The sequence below is a fragment of the Homo sapiens genome, chromosome 8 (assembly GCF_000001405.40).
Source record: "Homo sapiens chromosome 8, GRCh38.p14 Primary Assembly".
Taxonomy (NCBI): Eukaryota; Metazoa; Chordata; class Mammalia; order Primates; family Hominidae; genus Homo; species Homo sapiens.
In genome coordinates this window covers 66,602,855-66,623,265 of record NC_000008.11, presented here as the reverse complement: position 1 = coordinate 66,623,265, position 20,411 = coordinate 66,602,855, and the positions used below count along the sequence as shown (strand labels likewise).

The window sequence follows — 20,411 nt, the reverse complement described above, 5'->3', positions numbered from 1 at the left end:
CCTCAGCCTCCAAGTAGCTGGGATTATAGGCGTGTGCCACCACACCTGGCTAATTTTTGGCATTTTCTTTGAAAATTGTTCTAACTCTACAAATTCAGTTTGTAAATATGATAAATATATTTGTATTTTATTATGTAAATAATAAAAATGCCTAATTCATTTTCTACTCTAAATCTTTAAATTGCTTCCCCAGGAATATGCACCACCCGTATAGCTGTACCTATTGCTTCCCATCCTCCTGTAACGAAAGGACAATACTCCCAGGATTTGCTTATGCTGGTTTGACAAGCCCTGGTTAATCTAGTACCTAGAACGCTATACTTTTTTTTTTTTTTTAAAGAGATGGGATCTTACTCTGTCACCCAGGCTGGAGTGCAGTGGTGTGATTATAGCTCACTGCAGCCTCAAACTCCTGGGTTCAAGGGATCCTTCCACCTCAGCCTCCCCAGTAGCTAGAACTAGAGGGGTGCCACCAGGTCCAGCTATGTTTTTTTTTTTTAATCCTAGAATGAGCAGGCACGGTGGCTCACACCTGTAATCCCAGCACTTTGGGAGGCCCAGGCAAGCGGATTGCCTGAGCTAGGAGCTTCAGACCAGCCTGGGCAACATGTAAAAATACCAAAACAAAACAAAACAAAAAATTAGCCAGGCGTGGTGGCGCAGACCTGTAATTCCAGCTACTCCGGAGGCTGAGGCAGGAGAATTGCTTGAATCCAGGAGGCAGAGGTTTCAGTCAGCCAAGATCGCACCACTGCACTCCAGCCTGGGCGACAGAGCGAGCTCTGTCTACAAAAAAATCAATCAATCAATCAATCAGTCAATCAATCAATCCTAGAAGGAAATAGCTCCAAAAAATAAAAGTACCTGGACAGATATGATGAAACCATGTATTCAATCTGAAAACAAAACTCAGGTTCAGAACTCTATCTTGGATAGAGAAATGTTTGCTCCATTCTCTGTCCCCTCACCACCAATATTTTTGCTAATCTTCAGTCTACATTTAGGGTGCTATTTTAAATTTGATGGAAATTATGAATAGAAATCACACTGTCTAACATAAGCAGTTATAGAATTCTTAGTTTGGCTTTTAAAGTTAAAAATAAGAGCACTTGAACTGCATAGGAAGAAAAATTGTAAAGAGAAAGAAAAGTTTTAGTGTCCCTATTTAAACCCAAGACTCCTTGCTCTATACTTTTGTGGTAGAGAGAATAATGATTTCTCAAGTATCCATGACCGAATACCCAGAGCCTGTGAATATATTACCTTCCATGGCAAAAGGGACTTTACAGATGTGATTAACTTAAGGATCTTGACATGAGGGATTAACCTGGATTTGCCAGGTGGGCCCAGTATAATCACAAGAATACTTAAGAATGGAAGAGGCAGACAGGAGAGTCAGAGAAAGATTTGAAGGTGCTACACCACTGGCTTTGAAAATAGAGGAAGGGGCTGTGAGCCAAGGAGTGCACACTGCCTTTAGGAGCTGGCAAAAACAAGGAAACAAATTCTCCTCTAGAGTTTCCAGAAAACGAACACAACCCTCCTGACACCTTGATTTTAGCCCAGTGAAATCCTTTTTGCACTTCTGGCTTCCAGAACCTTAGGGTAATGTTTGTATTTCTTTCTTCTTTTTTCTTTTTTTTTTTGAGATGGAGTCTCGCTGTGTTGCGCAGAGCGAGTGCAGTGACATGCTCTCAGCTCACTGCAACCTCTGCCTCCCAGGTTCAAGCGATTCTCCTGCCTCAGCCTCCCGAGTAGATGGGACTACAGGCATGTGCCACCACACCCGGCTAATTTTTTGTATTTTTAGTAGAGACAGGGTTTCATCGTTGTTAGCCAGGATGGTTTCTATCTCCTGACCTCGTGATCCGCCCGCCTCGGCCTCCCAAAGTGCTGGGATTATACGCGTGAGCCACCACGCCCGGCCATGTTTGTATTGTTTTAAGCCATTACATTTGTGGTAATTTGTTACAGCAGCAATAGGAAACTGATATACCTTTGCTGAAATTTTCAACATTTTTGGCCTGTAATAATAAAAGTAATGTTTCTCTTCAAAAAGTAATTTTCCATAATGTTCAAATTCTAGTCCTCATTTACAACAAATAAGCCTACTAACTGAGGGTTCAAAATGAAGGATAGGAACTCCAAGTTAGGGAAGAGGGTATTCAGGGCATTAAAATGATAACTTACCAGCATGCCACAAAATCCTCAAAGCAGGGTTATTACTAATTGGTGGGAAACATGACATCCACCAAGATATGAATATGTGTGCTTCTCTTAAATTCTGATCTTTCTACCTCCATTCTAAATGTTATCACCTTCTACTTTAACAGAGATAATAATCTATCTTGTCTTTTTCCAGCCTCTCCTTCTCTACTGGCCTGGCATGTCCAGGCATTACTAATGGGCACAGTGAATTTTTGAAAGTTTAGGGGGAATCTGTGCTTCTTCATGGTGGTTACTGGCATTTAGTGTGCTGGGACTGGGAACACATTGCTCTTGCAATGTGTGAGACAGCCCTGCACGAGGAAGAAGTATCCTGCATTCCATTCACCTTTCAACCAGTCATGTAAGTGAAATACCTGATTATAATTACGTAAGCTAGAACCAGACTTCCTTTTATACAGAAGTGCACAACTGTTTTTTGTACTATTTTAAAATAATTGAGTATTTCCAGAAATGCAACTACCATGTAAACCAAGGAAATATTGTATTTTATTTTGTTCAGGCTGAACCAAGAGTTGTCTCCCCATTTTAGAAAATCACATTACTGAAGGCAACCCAGCTCAAAGACACTAATACAGCCCATGTATGGATGTCCGTATTTGTAGATATTGTGTTCATAGTGACTCTACCTATATATATTGGCTGTATTAGTTGTGCCTGAGAGAGATTTTATTATAAATTTCTTGTCTGTCCTCTATATTGTAGGTAGAGCAGTAAAACAATTTTTAAAAAAGTAATGTGTAAGTTATTTATGAATTTCATTTTAGTATGGTACAGGGAATAGAAAATGCTGTTATAAAAAGGGGATATTGGCTCCAGTAGGGTTGAAATCATTGCTTTAAATGTATCCATCCATCCATCCATCCATCCATCCATCCATCCATCCATCCCTCCCTCCCTCCCTCCATAACCATGTATCACTGCCTTGCCTTCCCCTCTCTCTCAAATATCTTCAGAGTGCCTTGACTTCACTACCTAATCAGTTGTCAGTCCTCTTGAAATCTGACTTTTACTACCACCATGCCATTGAAACTGTGGCCACAAAGTCACCAAACCCTGTTAAATCCAATATATACCTGTAGAAAGAAATCAGTCCCAATTTACTTTCTACAGCATTTGAGCTCATTTCTTCCTTTTATTTGAAACTTTCATTCCTTGATTTATATTATATCACCTCCATGATTTCTATCCCTTAAACTCCTTTGCAAGCCTTGCTCTTCTGCCTGTTCCTTGTTGACATTTCCCATTACTTCACTTTTAGCCCTGTTTCTCCCTCTACAATCTTTTCCTAGGCAATCTCATCTACTCCCGTGACTTCAGTCACATCCTGTGATTCACAAATCTTTATTTTCAATCCCAACCCCACTCATGAACTATATCTCTCTCCATCTGGAAGCACCAAATACCCAAAATTCAACATGTTCCAAAATGGAACTCACTTCCTACCCACCAATCTATAATTACTCCTGTATCCTATTCCAAATTAGTAGCACCACCAGTCAGCCAGTCTTTCAAATAAGAACCTGAGAGTTTGGATTCACCTTTTTCTCTCTCCATTATCCTGTCTTCTCCATCACCACTGCCAATGCATCAGTTTAAGCTCCTGTCTCTCACCCAGTTACAGCAAATCTTTTAACTCATCTCCCAGCTTCTAGTCATGTCCAATCCAATCTATCCTCCACATGGTCACCTGGGGTATCTTTTGAAACATAAATCTGTTTATCTCTACCCTGTTTAAAAAGCAAACAAAGAGACAGAAAGTAGAGTAGTTGTTGCCTAGGGCTGAGGACCTCGGGAGAAAATGGGGAATGACTGCTAATGGGTACAGATTTTGGGGGGAGGTATTGAAATGGTATAAAACTGATTGTGGTGATGGTTGCCCAACTCTTTGAAGATACTAAAAACTAAATTGTACACTTTAAATGAATGGATCATATTACTAGAGTATGAGAGAGTAATAGAATATGAACTCGCTAATAGATCTGAATTCAAAATAATTGAGTCAGGCTCAGTGGCTCACATCTGTAATCCCAACACTTTGGAAGGCCAAGGTGGTAGGGTCACTTGAGCCCAGGAGTTTGCAGTGAGCTCTGTTTGTGTCACTGCACTGCATGCAGTACTCCAGTCTGGGCAACATAGCAAGACCCTGTCAAAAAAAAAAGAAAGAAAGAAAGAAAGGAAGGATAATTGGGAGAAGACTTGTAGATTTATATAGTAGAGGAAAAGACTATTCATTTTAATATTGAGAATTAATTTGCCAAATTATAGCTAATCTAAAACATACTTTGCAGGTATTATTAAAATAATAATGAGTGGCCGGGCGCGGTGGCTCACGCCTGTAATCCCAGCACTTTGGGAGGCCGAGGCGGGCGGATCACGAGGTCAGGAGATCGAGACCATCCTGGCTAACACGGTGAAACCCCGTCTCTACTAAAAATACAAAAAATTAGCCGGGCGTGGTAGCGGGCGCCTGTAGTCCCAGCTACTCGGGAGGCTGAGGCAGGAGAATGGCGTGAACCCGGGAGGCGGAGCTTGCAGTGAGCCGAGATCGCGCCACTGCACTCCAGCCTGGGCGACAGAGCGAGACTCCGTCTCAAAAAAAAAAAAAAAAAAAAAAAAAAAAAAAATAATAATAATAATAATAATAATAATAATGAGTATGTCCTTTATGTGTATGTACATGATTTTAAAGTACATTTTCATATATTAAATTTTTTTAAGTTGGTTCTCTCAATTTAGAGATCTATGTTCAAATCTGACTTTGCTATTACTTTAAGTTACTTTCTTTTAGCTAGTTCTACCTAAAAAAATTAACTTAGTTGAAAAATAAGAGTAATTTAGAAGATAGAATGCTTGACTTTCCTGGTAACAGATTAAGGTGCTATACTTGAGACTGCTTTTGAGAGCAAAATTAATCTCTGTAGTACTAATGTGTAGCATGAGTAGGTGTTCAAGAACTGTTCGTTAAATTGAATTAAATAATATTAATAAGATATAAATAAGATTAATAAGCATTTCTTTTATAAGAATAGGGATTCTCAATCTTTATTATAGCACCAGGTGCTATGTGCTCTGTGCAGAAATTTTATATTATACCACTACCTCCCTCTTATGGTAATTTACATGAATATGTACAAGTGAACCAACTTTGCACTAATTTGTTTACTGTGATATTTATCAGTAATTCACTAAAGAGGAACAGCAGAGTATCACTAGCTTTTCAGTATTTGAGTCCAGTATTGCAGCTCTTAAAAGTAGGTTTTTCTAAAACTAAAAATCAGAATGTTGAGATTGTCATTTTCAAAGATTTATCCTTTTACCAAATAAGAAAAAGCCAGCCATTCACAAAGCAGAAAGGGGTCACCATTAGCTATGAATGCTTTCTATGTCTCTGGAGCTTCACATCCAACACAACTATAGCTGTGAGAGAAGGGTGCTGATCCCTTCCTCCCTTCCTCCTTCCCTCTTTCCTTATCTCTCTTTCTTTTTTTCTTGTTGTATCTGACAATGGTTACTTTCTTTTTTTCGAGATGGAGTCTCATTCTGCCGCCCAGGCTGGAGTACAGTGGTGCAATCTTGGCTCACTGCAACTTCTGCCTCCCAGGCTCAAGCTATTCTCCTGCCTCAGCCTCCTGAGTAGCTGGGACTACAGGCACACGCCACCACGCCCAGCTAATTTTTTTATTTTTAGTAGAGACAGGGTTTCACCATGTTGGCCAGGATGGTCTCGATCTCCTGACCTCAGGTGATCCATCTGCCTCAGCCTCCCAAAGTGCTGGGATTATAGGCGTGAGCCACCGCACCTGTCCGATGGTTATTTTCAATCCCAAGACGTACACTTTATCCAGTAAAAATTGGGCTGAAGAATTTAGGAATTCTAAAATAAAAATTTGAATTGGAAAAATAAAAATTTACTTCATGAAGATTAATATATAATAAGGAGAGTGACAGGGGTTGTGAGTGCCCCTTCATTCATGACACTCTAGCTGTCAGGTCTGGGATTTGATTTTACCCTACTTATAAGCTAAGTTAAACTGTTACTGGCTCATGGATCCTTTTACCAGAAGACACAAGACTCTAAGGTTGGGGACAAAGTGTTGGTATTACTTACAGCACAGCAAACACCTTGAGCATCAACATATTTGTGCCAGTTATTCTTGCTTTCAGGTCCCATGGGGCAATGTAATGGTACCAGATGGATGTCATGCATAGAGTGGATTTGTGCTACAGTTGAGAAACACTCAACTTGGGAATCCACTGCTTTTATAGTAAGCAGTAAGTAAACCTAGTTTTTGTCTTGGACTGAGATGTTACCTCATCTCTCAAGGCAACTAGCTGCAAATAACCCTTAGAAATGGCCTGTGTAAAAGAGTACTCAGGGCCTTGCAATCTAGGCACACCCAGCAAGATGTATATAGGAGTGCAAGAAGCCCAAGGAAGATTGTTTTAGTAACCACACCAGCATCTCTAAAGAATGGCCCTAGTTAGGCATAGATGGCTCATGCCTATAATCCCAGCACTTGAGGACGGTGAAGCAGCAGGACTGCTTGAGCCCAGGAGTTCAAGGTTACAGTGAGCTATCATCACACCACTGCAATCCAGCCTGGGCTACACAGCTAGACCCCATCTCTAAAAACGTTACGAAAAGGCCAGGGTCAGTGACTCATGCCTGTAATCCCAGCACTTTGGGAGGCTGAGATGGACGGATCACCTGAGGTCAGGAGCTTGAGACCAGCCTGGCCAACAGGGCAAAACCCCGTCTCTACTAAAAATACAAAAATTAGGCCAGGCATGGTGGCTCATGCCTGTAATCCCAGCACTTCGGGAGGCCGAGGCGGGAGGATCACCTGAGGTCAGGAGTTCCAGACCAGGCTGGTCAACATGGTGAGACCCCATCTCTACTAAAAATACAAAAAATTAGCCTGGGGTGGCAGGATAATTTCTTGAACCCGGGAGGTAGAGGTTGCAGTGAGCCAAGATCATGCCACTGGACTCCAGCCTGGGTGACAGAGTGAGACTCTGTCTCAAAAAACAAAAACCACAAAAATTAGCCGGGCATGGTGACACATGCCTGTAATCCCAGCTGCTTGGGAGGCTGAGGCACAAGAATTGCTTGAACATGGGAGGTGGAGGTTGCAGTGAGTGGTGATCGCGCCAATGCACTCCAGCCTGGGTGACAGAGTGACTGTCTAAAAAAAAAAAAAAAAAAAAAAAAAAAGACCTACTATTTGACAGCACAAGTTGACTAGAGTCAATAACTTGATTGTAGATTTTAAAATAACTAAAATTTATAATAACTAAAAGTAACACAAAGGATAAATACTCAAGGGGATGGATACCCCATCTCCATGATGTGATTATTTCACATTGCATGCCTGTATCAAAACATCTCATGTACCCCACAAATATATACACCTACTATGTACCCACAAAAATTAAAAAACAAACAAAACAAAGCCACTATAAATGTTTTGCAAAATGGCTGAATTCTGCATGCCTAACAGCAATGTATGCAAGTTGTACTTGCTCAGCATTTTCATCTTCACCAACATTTGTATAGTCAGTCATTTTCCCCGCTCATTCTAACAGAAGTGTAGTCTAGTATCTCATTGTGGTTTAATTTGCATTTCTCTAATGACTAATGAGGTGGAACATCATTTAATATGCCTGTCGTGTGTGTGTGTGTGTGTGTGTGTGTGTGTGTGTGTGTGTATGTATATATATATCTCGTTTGGTGAAATCTGTTTAAATCTTTTGCCCATTTTTTAAATGCTTTTTTTCTCACTGAGTTTTGAGAGTTCTTTATATACTCTGAATAAAATCTCTAAACGTTTGCTTAAAAAAAAACTCATCTTAGTTTAGAATACATCTGAGTATGTGTATTCAAATGACTGTGAACCACTTTAATTCCACACTTTGCCCTGAGTTTTATAACTGATTTCAGTAATTTCACAATGTTATCTTTCTGGGAATTGCTTTTCTCTATATGTAAAAATGAGGGAAATTTGTTTTACTGTCAAAATCTAAAACATTTGTCTTCAAGCTCTAAAAAAGGTATTCTGTATAAAACTGAATACAGCCTAAAATATAGCAGAAGCTCTGCTTCCTGTTAGATATAAATAAGTGAAGTAATGTACGACCCAGGGGTAAATAAGAAAACAGTGAAACAGTGATTCCAAATGACATTGGGAACATAATGAAATTTGGGAACTCATTTCTAAATTATTTTTTATTTTTTTATTTTTACTGAACCAGCAACCCAGTAAGGAATGATCTGGAAGAAACGCTTGGCCAGGTGTTGTGGCGCGCGCCTGTAGTCCCAGCTACTTTGGAGGCTGAGGCAAGAGGATCGCTGTTCGAGGCTACTGTAAGCTATGATTGTGCCACTGCACTCCAGCATGGGGAATAGAGTGAGACCTAGTCTCAAAAAAAAAACAACAAAAAAAAAAACAGGAGAGAAAAAGAAAAGCTGTTTTATCTTCCCTTACCTTCCCAGAATCTATACCTTGAAAAAAGGAACTGTTAAAAAAAAAAAAGCCAGTGTGTTTAGGTTTTGACAGCAGTGCATGCAAGCTTCTCTCTTAATTCAGCTCCTCTTAATTCACTCTGCACCTGCATCTGATTTGCAAAAGATGAAGCGTAAAATTTCAAAATAGCAAGTGTTTGTTACAGTGTTAACATGTGGCTCAGTGCTCTATGCAATAGACCATGTTGCCTTGCAAATTTTCCTTAGCCAAGTGTAATTGTTACTGTAGCAAATCTACTTTAATGCTACTTGAAATGAACAGTTCGTAGTTATTAGACTGGAACCTCAAGTAGCTGCAACCGCTAGAAACTCCTCCGGTGGTTCCCCCCTCCCTGGTCTCTCCAGAGGGAAGAAGGTCACCTTCTACACTTAACTACCATGCTCATTCATCTGGACGAAATGCCCAGTCCACTGTCTTCTTCACGCGTTATTCTCCAGGACAGGGCTCCTCCGCCGCGCACGTTATTTCCTGTAGAGCGGGCACGAAATTAAGCACCTTGAAGACCAGCGGTAGACACAGATTATCTCCGGTTCCAAGCACGTCTCCCGCTAGGAACTTTTTTCACTTGTCACTCTTCTGCTGCTTTTTGAGGAAAACAGGTGATATTTGGTTTCCTGCCAGAGTCTTCGTCACTCTCGTAACTATGATGTCTGGGTAAAAATAGCTCACATTTTTGCTTAAAAAATAACGGCCGCGCAAATTTATGGTTAGATTTGTCTCAAGTCTGAAGACCGCGCATCCTAACTAGTGAGGCGGAAGACACCTAAGGAGCCAGGAGCTGTCGCCGAGGCGAGGCTGCGGAGACGTTCCCTTGGTGGGCCGCGGGACCACCCACCCCGCCAGAAACTCGGTTCGCTCACCCTAAGAATTTTGGGGCAACTGGACTTCTCCACCGCCCGCTTCCGGACCCGCTCCGGCGCCGCTTCCGGACCCACTCCTCGGCGAGCGCAGGAACTCGCTCTCCCAGCAGGCCCCGCGCGGTGCGCCTCTCGGCGCGTTCCGGGTCCTATGACAGCTCGGCTCGCATGCGCCACCTACGGCCCCACCCGCGGCCCCACCCCCTGGCTCCCGGCTCCTTCCCCGACTCCCGCGAGTTCCAGTCCCAGCTTCCAGCTCCCCAGCCCCGCCCTCAGCCGCGCGCGCTCTCCCCTCCCCGCCCTCGCTTCTTCGCGTGCGGCCCCCACAGCCAATGAGGTTCAGGGCCGCGTGCGCAGATTCAAACGGCGGCTCTTGAGGGAGGCTGGGCGCGAGATTCGGCGGTGCGGACAAAACCCTGCAGGAGACTGCGAGCCCTGCAGAACTGCTAGCTGCGGGGGAGAGGGCAGGGGTCGGGCGCCTGTGGCGGAGCCGGGCTGGGGCCAGGGCAGGGAGGCTGACAAGCGGCGGGAGAAGCCGGCGGAGGGCGGGATCGCGCCTCCTGACATGTTGGGGGTATCCCTGGCCGGGCCGGGCCGGGGCTAAGAGCGGCGCTGCGGGCCGGGGTCGGGGTCGGGTCGCGGTCCGCCCCCGCTGTCCCTCCGTCCTGCCCTGTCGAGGACGTGCGTTCCGCACTCGGCCGCCTCCAGAGGGAGCGAGGGAAGCGGCTAGAGGATCGGGGAGAAGGAGCATTCGCCGGAGGCTGGAGGAGGCTGACCCGCGTCCCCGCCCAGCCTGCTCCTATGCGGTACTTGAAGGATGGCGAAGAGGTCGCGCAGGTGGGTGGCACCCCTTTCGCCCAGGCCTGTCGGCGCCGTCTCGGCTCAGATTCTCTTTCCTATCCCGCTGCCCCCTCCCGCCATAAGGCCCTCCCTGGCGAGGGCAGAGGTTTTTCTTCCCGCGTCCCCGCGGCCGCTTGGCCTCGATGACCGGAGGGCAGCTGCGACGTGTGGAGAGTTGGGGACCAGGGTGTTTGAGGCGCGGGACGTAAGAGATGCCCAGGTTTCTCGGTGACTCTCCCCGTAATGCGCGTCCAGATTTCTGACCTCATGCTGCCACTTCTTCGAGGCAGGTTTCTTGCCAGGTAAGTCGAGCGCTTTTAGGGAGTCCGCTACGCAGAGAAAACTGACTGTGTCCTGCCGGGAGGACTTGAAAATGGTGTTCGGGCGACTCTTTTCTGAATGACGGTACAGTCAAAATAGGAACTCCGCGGTGAACCTGGGCGGCCACCCCTCTGCCAACTTGGCTATCTTGAAACGTTGTGGAAAATCCTCTGGGGAATAGCTGAGAGGACTTTTTTGATGTTTTCTGTAATTCCTATACCCATATGCTCAGCTTTATGTATATATGTATATTTTAATATCCTCTCTTGGGACCATGTCACATAGTAACAACTAGTAGTAACAACTAGTAGCTTGATCTTGAAATAAAACAATGTGTTTGATTCACTTAATATTTTGAGTGTCTGTGTTTGGCTCTGACCGTACCTAAGTGTTCCACAGAGGTAAGGCACTTTTTTCCACCTTTGCCTGGAAAATGTGCTAGGATGAATTTATGCATCTAATTTTCGTTTACATGCCATTACAGCAGCTACTCATAAATTATGTGGAGTAATTGCTTAGATAACAAAAATATAGGATGTCTTCCGATTTTCAGCATTATCAAATAAACCTGAAAAGATGTTTGGCAGGATTTCCAAATATTTATTTATCTAGATCCACAGCCCCAAAATCTTAACTAGAGATGTATTTCCTAAGTTGAAATTTAGTAATGGGGGTCATTCATTGCAGAGTTCTGCTAAAAATTGGCAGTAACTATACATAATTGTTTTTTCCTTAGTTTTCTGTTAAGCATCTGCTGTGTGCAGGATGCTTCTGCAGAAATCCTTAAGTCTCTGTAAGCTTATTAGTTTTGAAGTAAGTTATAGGACAAACTCTTGAGATGAAATAAATGTGTACACAGACCCCTCTAAAACTGTTTTCAGCCTTTGCACTATTGACATCTTGGACCAGATAATTCTTTGTAATGGGGAGATGTTTAGCAGCATCGCTGGCTTCTACCCAGTAGAGATAGTAACACTCCACTTCCCTCAGTCATGACAGTAAAAATGTCTCCAGACATTGCCAAATATCTTTTGGGGGACAAAATCACCCAGGAAAGAACCACCCTTCTAGAACTTCAAGGACCCAATTAACATCAATCTTCAGAAAAGATAGATATTTAAAGCTCTTGTAATTATGATTGCCGAAGTACTGGTTTAGGCTTTTTGAATTTTTAAATATAAAAAAATTTAAAAATAAGATGACAATTGAATATGTTAACTCAATAACAAGTTTATTAATGTGTGATATTATCTACTTATCAGTATTGATGTTAATCTTATTTGAAACAGTTTCTTGGCTAATTCTGTCATCAGCATTTAGTTAAATTAAAATTATGGCTAGACACGAATGTTTAAATGTCAGAACCTTCCCCTCCCCATGGGTTTTCTGTCCATTTCATATGTGTGAAGTGTATGTTTCATAATAATGGACAAAGAAAGGAGAAACAACTTAATGTTAGTTTGCATATATAAGTTGTTTTATTGAGAATACTGTGAGCTTGAAATCTAAATATTGTACTTTTGACATTTATCCCTTGACAGTTGTGTAAGTTAATTTAAACATGATAGAATGATTTAAAGGGTCGTAAATCTGGAGTAATTAAATGTGGTGGGGTGAAGCTATACTCTCCCTGGGAGTATACAGATAGAGGATGTGGGGAGAAATTATCATCTCTGAATGATGTATCTCTTAAGTCTTCATACTTAAATGTGTTTCATACTCTGAATTACATTTCTTGCCCACGTAAATATGATTTACATATCTTAGAAGATAGTAGATGCTCTGCTTTTGTGCTTCAACAAAAAACAAAAGAGGATAGAGTGTGAATTGTTTTGAAGCAAAAATAATGTCATTGGGAAAAATCTCTCTTGCCTTTTACCTAAGTATCTTAATATATTTGAACTCAATTTATAGTTGAAAGGGAAAAGAAATAATTCAGTTACTTCAAGTTGTAATTTGAGATCTCCAGTATACAACCACTTAAGCGTTCAAGTGAAAACTATACTTTGCTGTATAAAAGTTTTGCCTAAGAGCATAGGCGTAAATCCTGTAATATATGTTTCCTATGTGAACTGAAAAAAAAAAACCCAAAAAAACCTAAGAGTAGAAAACTAAGTGTTACCTCAAGTGTGAACAACTGCAGGATGTTAGCTGTTTTGATCTTTAAGATAGCCGTAGTATCTGTCCTCTAGATTTACATAAAGGAAGACTCATTTGTATTGTGACTTTAAATAATTTTACATCCCACTGGGAATTGCGATGACAATTTACAGGCAATACTAAAATTAATATATCTGTTACTAACATATATTTAACTTTTAAGCATATTTATATATACGTAATTAATTTTAGATTCGAAAGTCAGTTTTACCCTTTAAAGTAAGCTTTAAAAAATGTCATTTAGAAACCTGTTTACTAGTAACAGATTATTTACACTTGAGATGACCTATGACTACACTAACCTGAAAAGATAAAAGCCAGCTCTTGAAATAGAAGATGTTTTTTGCAGTGTTATGTATATGTGTGTGTATAGGAACCAATTTTACTGTGTTGTTTCCAGCAAAATGGGTGGGAGTGAAATTATACTGAAATATGAGAACTGATCTTTTAATCGGTTTTGTCATTAACTGGCAATATTGTTTGGGGAAGCAGGTAAACTCTGCCTCAGTTTTTCATCTGGTTAATATATAGAGTTTGGATTTTATGGTCTGTAAGGTAGTTTCTAGCTTTAATGTATATATTTGAAGACATTTTGTAATCTTATTTAAAAGTATATACATACTAATGAAATAGAAATTTTCTCACAATGTTTTTGTTTATGGAATTACTAGGTAGAACTCTCCTCAATATTGCTGTTAATAATGATCAAAGGTTTTGTAAAGTTTGTCTTACTATAATACTGCTAGTTTGCACAGTCCAGATTTGGAAATAAAATATTCATGTATGCAGTACATATATTAACCACTGGGTGGCCTAATTTCACTTTATTAAATCAACCTGGTAAATTTTCATACCTTGAATATGATTGGACTTGTCCTCAAGATTGTATAATAAAGATTTTTTTTTTGTCTGTGATAAAGATTTCGGACTTGAGTTAATTTGTGATTAAAAATATTATCAACTTGATGCGATTTTACTAGAGCAAATTTATAGAACCGGTATTTCTCTTTCTTTTAGAATAAAAAATTTAAAAAAATTTCAGTTTCCTCCTTGGAATACCTCATTTACTGGTTTAAGTGATATAATTGTTATCCTCTAAAATTGAACTTCTAAATGTTTTATCTTAACATCACATGTGAATTATTTCATCAAGTGCGTGTTATTTCACGGACAAAGTCATGACTATCATGTCCTGTTAGCTTGTACACCAATGTAAAGTTACTCTTAAACTATTTTCCTGGCCTAATGAGTTCTACAATTTTTTTGTGTGCTTCCTTTGACTGTTTTATAATCACCCTAATCACTTTAATTCACAGTCTATGAAACTGTTTCCATTTGAATATAGTAGTTTGGTTATGTATTAGACATTTATCACATAAATATTTTCTTTGACTTAGGTAAACTGGCAGAATCATTCTGGAAACCGAGTCCTGGGCTGGAGAGCCAAAGACCAAATTAATCTATTATTGCTTTGTGACTAGAGAAATAATGTCACTTTATTTTGCTGTCTTCTAGATAATTACACTAGGCTAGGAATGGTTTATTTAACTACATAGTAGGAAGCCAATTTTATTAAATTATTACATATTACCAGCATTGATTGTTATAATACAGAAATGTCAAAAGATTATGTAAAAGTAGACAAATAGAGCAGATCCATTTTGATGATATCTAACCATTTTTCAGTGATGGGACTTTTTCACTGTTAAATGGTGAAAGTGGGATATTGGTGCAGTGATTTGTGGGGTTTTATCCTTTCCCTGTTTTCTTTGCAAATTATACACATTCTCAGGCATCTTTCTTTGTAGCTAGTGATGTTGATAGATATCTAGGATCTTTTTTTTGGTCTCATGTATTGGAAAGTTAACATTGTCTTTTCAATACTCATATATATGTAGAGATAACTTGATGCTATAACTAAGAAGTAGGTAGACTCTAGGAAAGTCAGAGTGGTAGATAATTCTAAGAATTCTACTTGCTTCTTCACACTTACCCATTCAAAAAGCCCAGCTTACTGAACATTGAATGGGCTATATAACTCAGTGTCTGAAACTGATGACCATGCTGAAATGCAAAATAGAGAATGAAACCTCATGTAGAAATAGAAATTTCTCACAATAAAGTATGTGGGTAAAAAGTAAGGGGCAAAATTTTACAGTTAAAATGAACTAGTTTTTAGGAAAATTACTCTTTGAAAACTCAGCTTTTTGACCAAAATAATGTTTTTGTACTCATATCCTTAAAATATTTTGTAAGAACCTTAAAGTGGGTTTCGTATGATTAAATGTGATGTAGATTTGTGAATACTCAAGATTTATATGGGCAAATTCCCAAGGTAAAAATTATTTTGACTTAGAAATAACCTGTATTTTAAAGCAGTCTCAAATATACTGTTATGGAAACTTTGAGGATCTGAAGAGAGGGAGGAAAAGAAAGAGACCCTGTGAAAAGCATGCCTGAGGGCTATTTGGGGTGTCAGGAAGTGGTAATGTTGCTGGTGGCATTTCTAAGAAAGGTTAAACAGTACAGTAGATACCTTCAAATAACCTTTTCTGTATTGAATATTTAAAATGTTTGTTTCAGCAGGTTCTGCTTCTTAAAATTCTACCACTTGGAGGTGTTTTTTTTTTTTTTTGGGTTTTGAAAGTCTTCTTTAACAAATAAGAATGCTTTTACCTCTTCCTAGAGGTATTTTCATTTGTTAAAAAGTTTTCTTTCTCAGATCCACTTTGAGATCACATGTATTGAAGAAGGTGGAAGTTTTGGTTGGGTTGGAAAGGAGTGAGATAATTTTGGAATATAGAGCTCTTGGTGAAGCTGGAAGATTAGGGAAGATTGTTCATTAGTTTTACAAATATTTGAGTGGCAGGTACTGTGCTTAGTTAGTCCTGAGAGGTGAACGTGGTAGACATGGTCTGCACTCATGAGCTTACTTTTTGGATGTGGAGGTTGGCAAATGTGATAAACATTAAAAAGAAGAAAGGTAGGTGCTCTTAGTACATACAAATAGGACAGAAAGCTGCAGTGTGGTGTTTTATCTGATTCGGTAGCTTTCTTAGAAATTTATGAAGTCATTGGACCCTGAAGCATGTCGAACTTAACAATTTAATATTGGCCTATCAGGTGATATTTCTGATAGCTGAAAATGGCTGCATGTATCAGATATTTAATCAAGCCTGTAGAGTTTTTTTTTTTTTTTTTTTTTGTTGTTTTAACACAGTTTAATAAAACAACCATATATGGGCCAGGCGTGGTTGCTCAAACCTGTAATCCCAGCATTTTGGGAGGCCAAGGTTGGCGGATCACCTGAGGTCAGGAGTTCGAGACCAGCCTGGCTAACATGCTGAAACCCCGTCTCTACGAAAAAAATTCAAAAATTAGCCAGGCATGATGGCAGACGCCTGTAATTCCTTCTACCTGGGAGGCTGAGGAAGGAGAATTGCTTGAACCAGGGAGGTGGAGGTTGCAGTGAGCCGAGATTGCGCCACTGCACTCCAGCCTGGGCAACAGAGCAAGACTCCATCTCAAAAAAGAAAAAAAAAAAACAGCCATGTATGGAAGGAGAACTGGTGGATTATTGTTACAAATAGACAATGGCTTCAGGGAGAGCGAACACTGGACTATTGAAGTGTGTTGAACTGTAGAAGCAGATCATAGGGGAATGGGAGAATCTTGGTGTTTTGCCTGGTCAAATATGAAGAATTTTGTTCCAATGGAATTGACAAGTCAATGGAAGTTAGACGTTCCTACAAAGGATCTATAGACAGTATATATTAAATCTGGGCCTTCATTTTTCAATTTTGTAAGATTAAAATTACATAACTTACATAGATATTAGAAACTACTTGCATGCGCTTAACTATATTAGAGTAAGGTTAAACAAATCTTCAAATTTTGCTCTGTGAAATCAGAATGAATTTTTGAGAAAGAGTTGAATCTAGTAAGGCAAAAATAATTTTGAATACTATTAGGTGATCAGCCTATGCACGTAATACTAATATTGAGGCACCTTTCTGTGCCATGTGCTGTATGAGGTGTTATATATGTTTTCTCATTTAATTTTATCCTTAAAGCAGCACTATAAGGTAGGTGGTATTATTATCATTTTACAAACAAGTAAACTAAACCCCTGAGAGGTTAACATGTTCAAGGTTACAGAGTGAGTAATTAAGTTAGAACCAGAACCTTGTTCTGATTCCAAAATGAACTTGAGGTTTGTCTTTAGTATCTTCCAGCTTCCTAGCACTTTCCCCCTATTTTTCCAGTATGTCGTAGTATAGCGGTTAAGTAGTGACTGTGGGCAAGAGGTTACATTTCTGAGTCAAAGTTTCCTATTCCGTGAAATGGGAATAATGATAATATTCCCCTCTTCCAGTTGTGAGGCTTTAAGAGAAAAATTTAATAGACTACTTAGAAAGTTTTAAATAAATGGTAGACTGTGTTATTTTCAGATGCCATGACTTTATTCAGTCCACTGCCTACTCAGAATCCTCTAATTCAGTTTACTTATTTATTTATTGAGACGGAGTCTTGCTCTGTCACCTGGGCTGGAGTGCAATGGTGCAATCTCGGCTCACTGTAACCTCTACCTCCCGGGTTCAAGTGATTCTCCTGCCTCAGCCTCCCGAGTAGCTGGCATTACAGGCACCCACCATCATGCTCCGCTAATTTTTGTATTTTTAGTAGGGGTTTCACCATGTTGGCCAGGCTGGTCTTGAACTCCTGACTTCAGGTGATCCGCCTGCCTCAGCCTCCCAAAGTGCTGGGATTACAGGTGGGAGCCACTGCGCCTGGCCTTGTATTTCAGTTTATCATTAAGGCTTGCCCTTTTTTATGGGGCTTTATTCTTTAAAATTGCTTTTTCTTTTTTTACTCCATCAAAACTCAGGTTCTGACTTTGGCCCCTTCCTCACTTTATTAATTTTCCTTGGGTCATCCTGTGCCCTCAGCTATTCTTTGTATGCTGGCCAAAACTGCATCTCTACCCTAGACCTTGTATTTGAGCAGGTCCACATGCTCATTTGCCTTCTAGATTTGCTCTGCCCTGTAGGATAGCCATTAGCCACATGTGGCTATTGAGCTCTTGAACTGTGGCTAGTCTGAATTGTAATGAACTCTAACTACAAAACACACACCAGATTTTGAAGACTTTAGTAAGAAAAAAATATGTAAAACATTTCATTTATACTTTTTTATGTTGATTACATGTTGAAATGATTATATTTTTGATATATTAAGCTAAGGAATATTGACTATTGAAGTACATTTCACTTATTTCTCTTTTTTTAAAAAATGTGGCTACTAGAAAATTACATATGTGGCTTGTATTATGTCTCTGTTGGGAAGTGCTGTTCCAGACATCCACCTGTGTATTTTTCAAGTACCTTGAAAACAGCTAGTCCCAAACTATACATACTCTCCCCATTTTCTTCTCTCTCCCAAAGTTCTGTTTCTCCTTCTATCATTTTCCATAGTAAATAGCTCTACTTATGTTTTCAAAGCCAGAAACTTTGGAGTCATCCTTAATTCCTCCTTCTTCCATGTCCCTCATCTATCAGTTGCAAAATCCTTTCTTTTCTACTTTTTAAATATCTCTCAGTTTAATATATTTCTTTCAATTCCTAATATCATTACCTTGGTTGATCTATTTTATCACTTCCAGATTTTTGTCACATTTACCTGTCTTTTACTCAAGGATATGAAAAGTAGACTTCTTTTCTGTTTTCTTATAGTACTATTATGGTTTCATGTAAAAAATGTAAATAATTGCTTCACTCCAGTTTATTTTATTGTAAAGTAGGACACCATCTTTTTTTTTTTTTAATTTTGAAATGGAGGTTCTCTTGGTTGCCCAGGCTGGAGTGCAGTGGTGCAGTCTTGGCTCACTGGGTACAAGCGATTCTCCTGCTTCAGCCTCCCAAGTAGCTGGGATTACAGGCACATACCACCACACCCAGATAATTTTTGCAATTTTAGTAGAGACAGGGTTTTGCCATGTTGGTCAGGCTGGTCTCGAACTCCTGACCTCAAATGATCTGCTCGACTCAGCCTCCCAAAGTGCTGGGATTACAGGTGTCCACGCCCAGCCCATCTTAATTTTAAAAAATGGCTACCCAGTGTCTTAACACCATTTATTGAAAAGTCTACCTTTACTCCACTGATTTGAAATGTTACTGTTATAATTTACCAAATTCCATGTGGGTCTTTTTTCTTTTCTAAATGTTCTGTTCCATTTATCTATGTGTGTGTTCGTGTGGTAGTACCATTCTGTTTTATTTCTCTACAGTGTATTTTGATATTGGGTAGTGGTAATTCTCTGATTATTCTTTTTTAAAACTTTTCTTGCCATTCTTCTTGATTTTTTTTTTTCATATGAATTGTAGATTCAGCTTGTCTAGTTGCCTCCCAAAGTCTATTGGTATTTTTATTCATTTAATTTAATTTATGAATTAGGGAGAATGGACATCTCCCTAAATTAGAGAATGGACATATCTATAATATTGTTTTCTTATCCAATAATATGGTCAGGAGGCTGGGCATGGTGATGCATGCCTGTAATCTCAAGCGTGGGATTTGGGAGGCTGAGGCAGGAGGATCACTTGAGCTCAGGAGTTCAAGACCAGCATTGCGGGTGGAGCAACATAGCAAAACCCCATCTCTACAAAAAATAGAAAAAATTAGCTGGGCATGATGGTGCATGCCTGTAGTCCCAGCTACTCGGGAGACTGAGGTGGGAGGATTGCCTGAGCCTGGGAGTTTGAGGCTACAGTGAGCTGTGATTGTGCCACTGCACTCCAGCCTGGGTGACAGAGCAAGCTGAGACCCTGTCTGGAAAAAAAAAAAAAAGTCAGAATGTTCTTCCATTTGTTCAAGACATCTGTGTCTCACAACAGTGTCTTGTCACTTACTGTACCTTTATCTTGTATGTTAAATTTTTTTTATTGTTGGTATTGTTAATTGGATCACTTCTATTGTGTCTTTTAATTGGCTGCGGTTTATATTTTACCATTACCATTTGTCAGGCCCCAATAATTTCTTGCTTGGGTTGTTGTGAAGATTACTAATTGGTTTTTCTTTTTCAGTTTCACCACACTCTTGTCACTGATTTTTCTAAAACACAAGATATCTGTCTTTTGTCTTTTGCTGTGTTAAAATTATTTAACTCTTTAGAATAAAGGTCAAATAAAGAATAAAGGTCAAATTCCTTAACATGACGTACAAGGTTATGATTTTTCCCGTAGTGGCATATCCAACCTCATGTGTTTGGTGTCAGTAAGAAGTATAGTTCCAGGCCAGGTGCAGTGGCTCACGCCTGTAATCCCAGCACATTGGGAGGCCGAGTCGGGCAGATCACAAGGTCAGGAGATCGAGACCATCCTGGTTAACACGGTGAAACCCTGCCTCTACTAAAAATACAAAAAATTAGCTGGGCGTAGTGGTGGGCGCCCGTAGTCCCAGCTACTCGAGAGGCTGAGGCAGG

At 40.1% G+C, this 20,411-nt stretch overlaps 1 protein-coding gene and 1 long non-coding RNA gene across 11 annotated transcripts in view, besides 4 other annotated features; one reads left to right on the top strand and one right to left on the bottom strand.

Moving 5' to 3' along the window:
- Window positions 1–7,407: 7,407 nt before the first annotated feature.
- LOC105375884 (uncharacterized) lies at window positions 7,408–9,717 on the bottom strand. Its single transcript, XR_929015.3, has 2 exons — window positions 9,614–9,717; window positions 7,408–9,221 (listed from the first exon to the last, which is right to left on the bottom strand). It is a non-coding gene; the product is annotated as an uncharacterized LOC105375884 (long non-coding RNA).
- Window positions 9,202–9,251: an enhancer, noted in NCBI's record as "active region_27485". NCBI's record gives its function as "activates an Ori minimal core promoter by ATAC-STARR-seq in GM12878 lymphoblastoid cells {active_cell/tissue: GM12878}" and the evidence as "EXISTENCE:reporter gene assay evidence [ECO:0000049][PMID:35858748]".
- Window positions 9,262–9,341: an enhancer, noted in NCBI's record as "active region_27484". NCBI's record gives its function as "activates an Ori minimal core promoter by ATAC-STARR-seq in GM12878 lymphoblastoid cells {active_cell/tissue: GM12878}" and the evidence as "EXISTENCE:reporter gene assay evidence [ECO:0000049][PMID:35858748]".
- Window positions 9,392–9,531: an enhancer, noted in NCBI's record as "active region_27483". NCBI's record gives its function as "activates an Ori minimal core promoter by ATAC-STARR-seq in GM12878 lymphoblastoid cells {active_cell/tissue: GM12878}" and the evidence as "EXISTENCE:reporter gene assay evidence [ECO:0000049][PMID:35858748]".
- Window positions 9,762–10,281: a silencer, noted in NCBI's record as "silent region_19254". NCBI's record gives its function as "represses an Ori minimal core promoter by ATAC-STARR-seq in GM12878 lymphoblastoid cells {active_cell/tissue: GM12878}" and the evidence as "EXISTENCE:reporter gene assay evidence [ECO:0000049][PMID:35858748]".
- Window positions 10,048–20,411, top strand: part of MYBL1 (MYB proto-oncogene like 1) — a 51,044-nt gene continuing 40,680 nt past the window's right edge. For 5 of the 10 annotated variants that reach the window (NM_001294282.2, NM_001144755.3, NM_001080416.4 and 2 more), the window contains exon 1: window positions 10,048–10,447. In NM_001294282.2, coding sequence (NP_001281211.1) covers window positions 10,428–10,447 — 20 coding nt within the window. In that variant the 5' untranslated portion in view covers window positions 10,048–10,427. Of the gene's footprint in view, window positions 10,448–10,472; window positions 10,753–20,411 lie in introns of those variants that run through there. The other 5 variants (XM_017013456.2, XM_017013457.2, XM_017013459.2 and 2 more) reach the window with 4 other exon arrangements.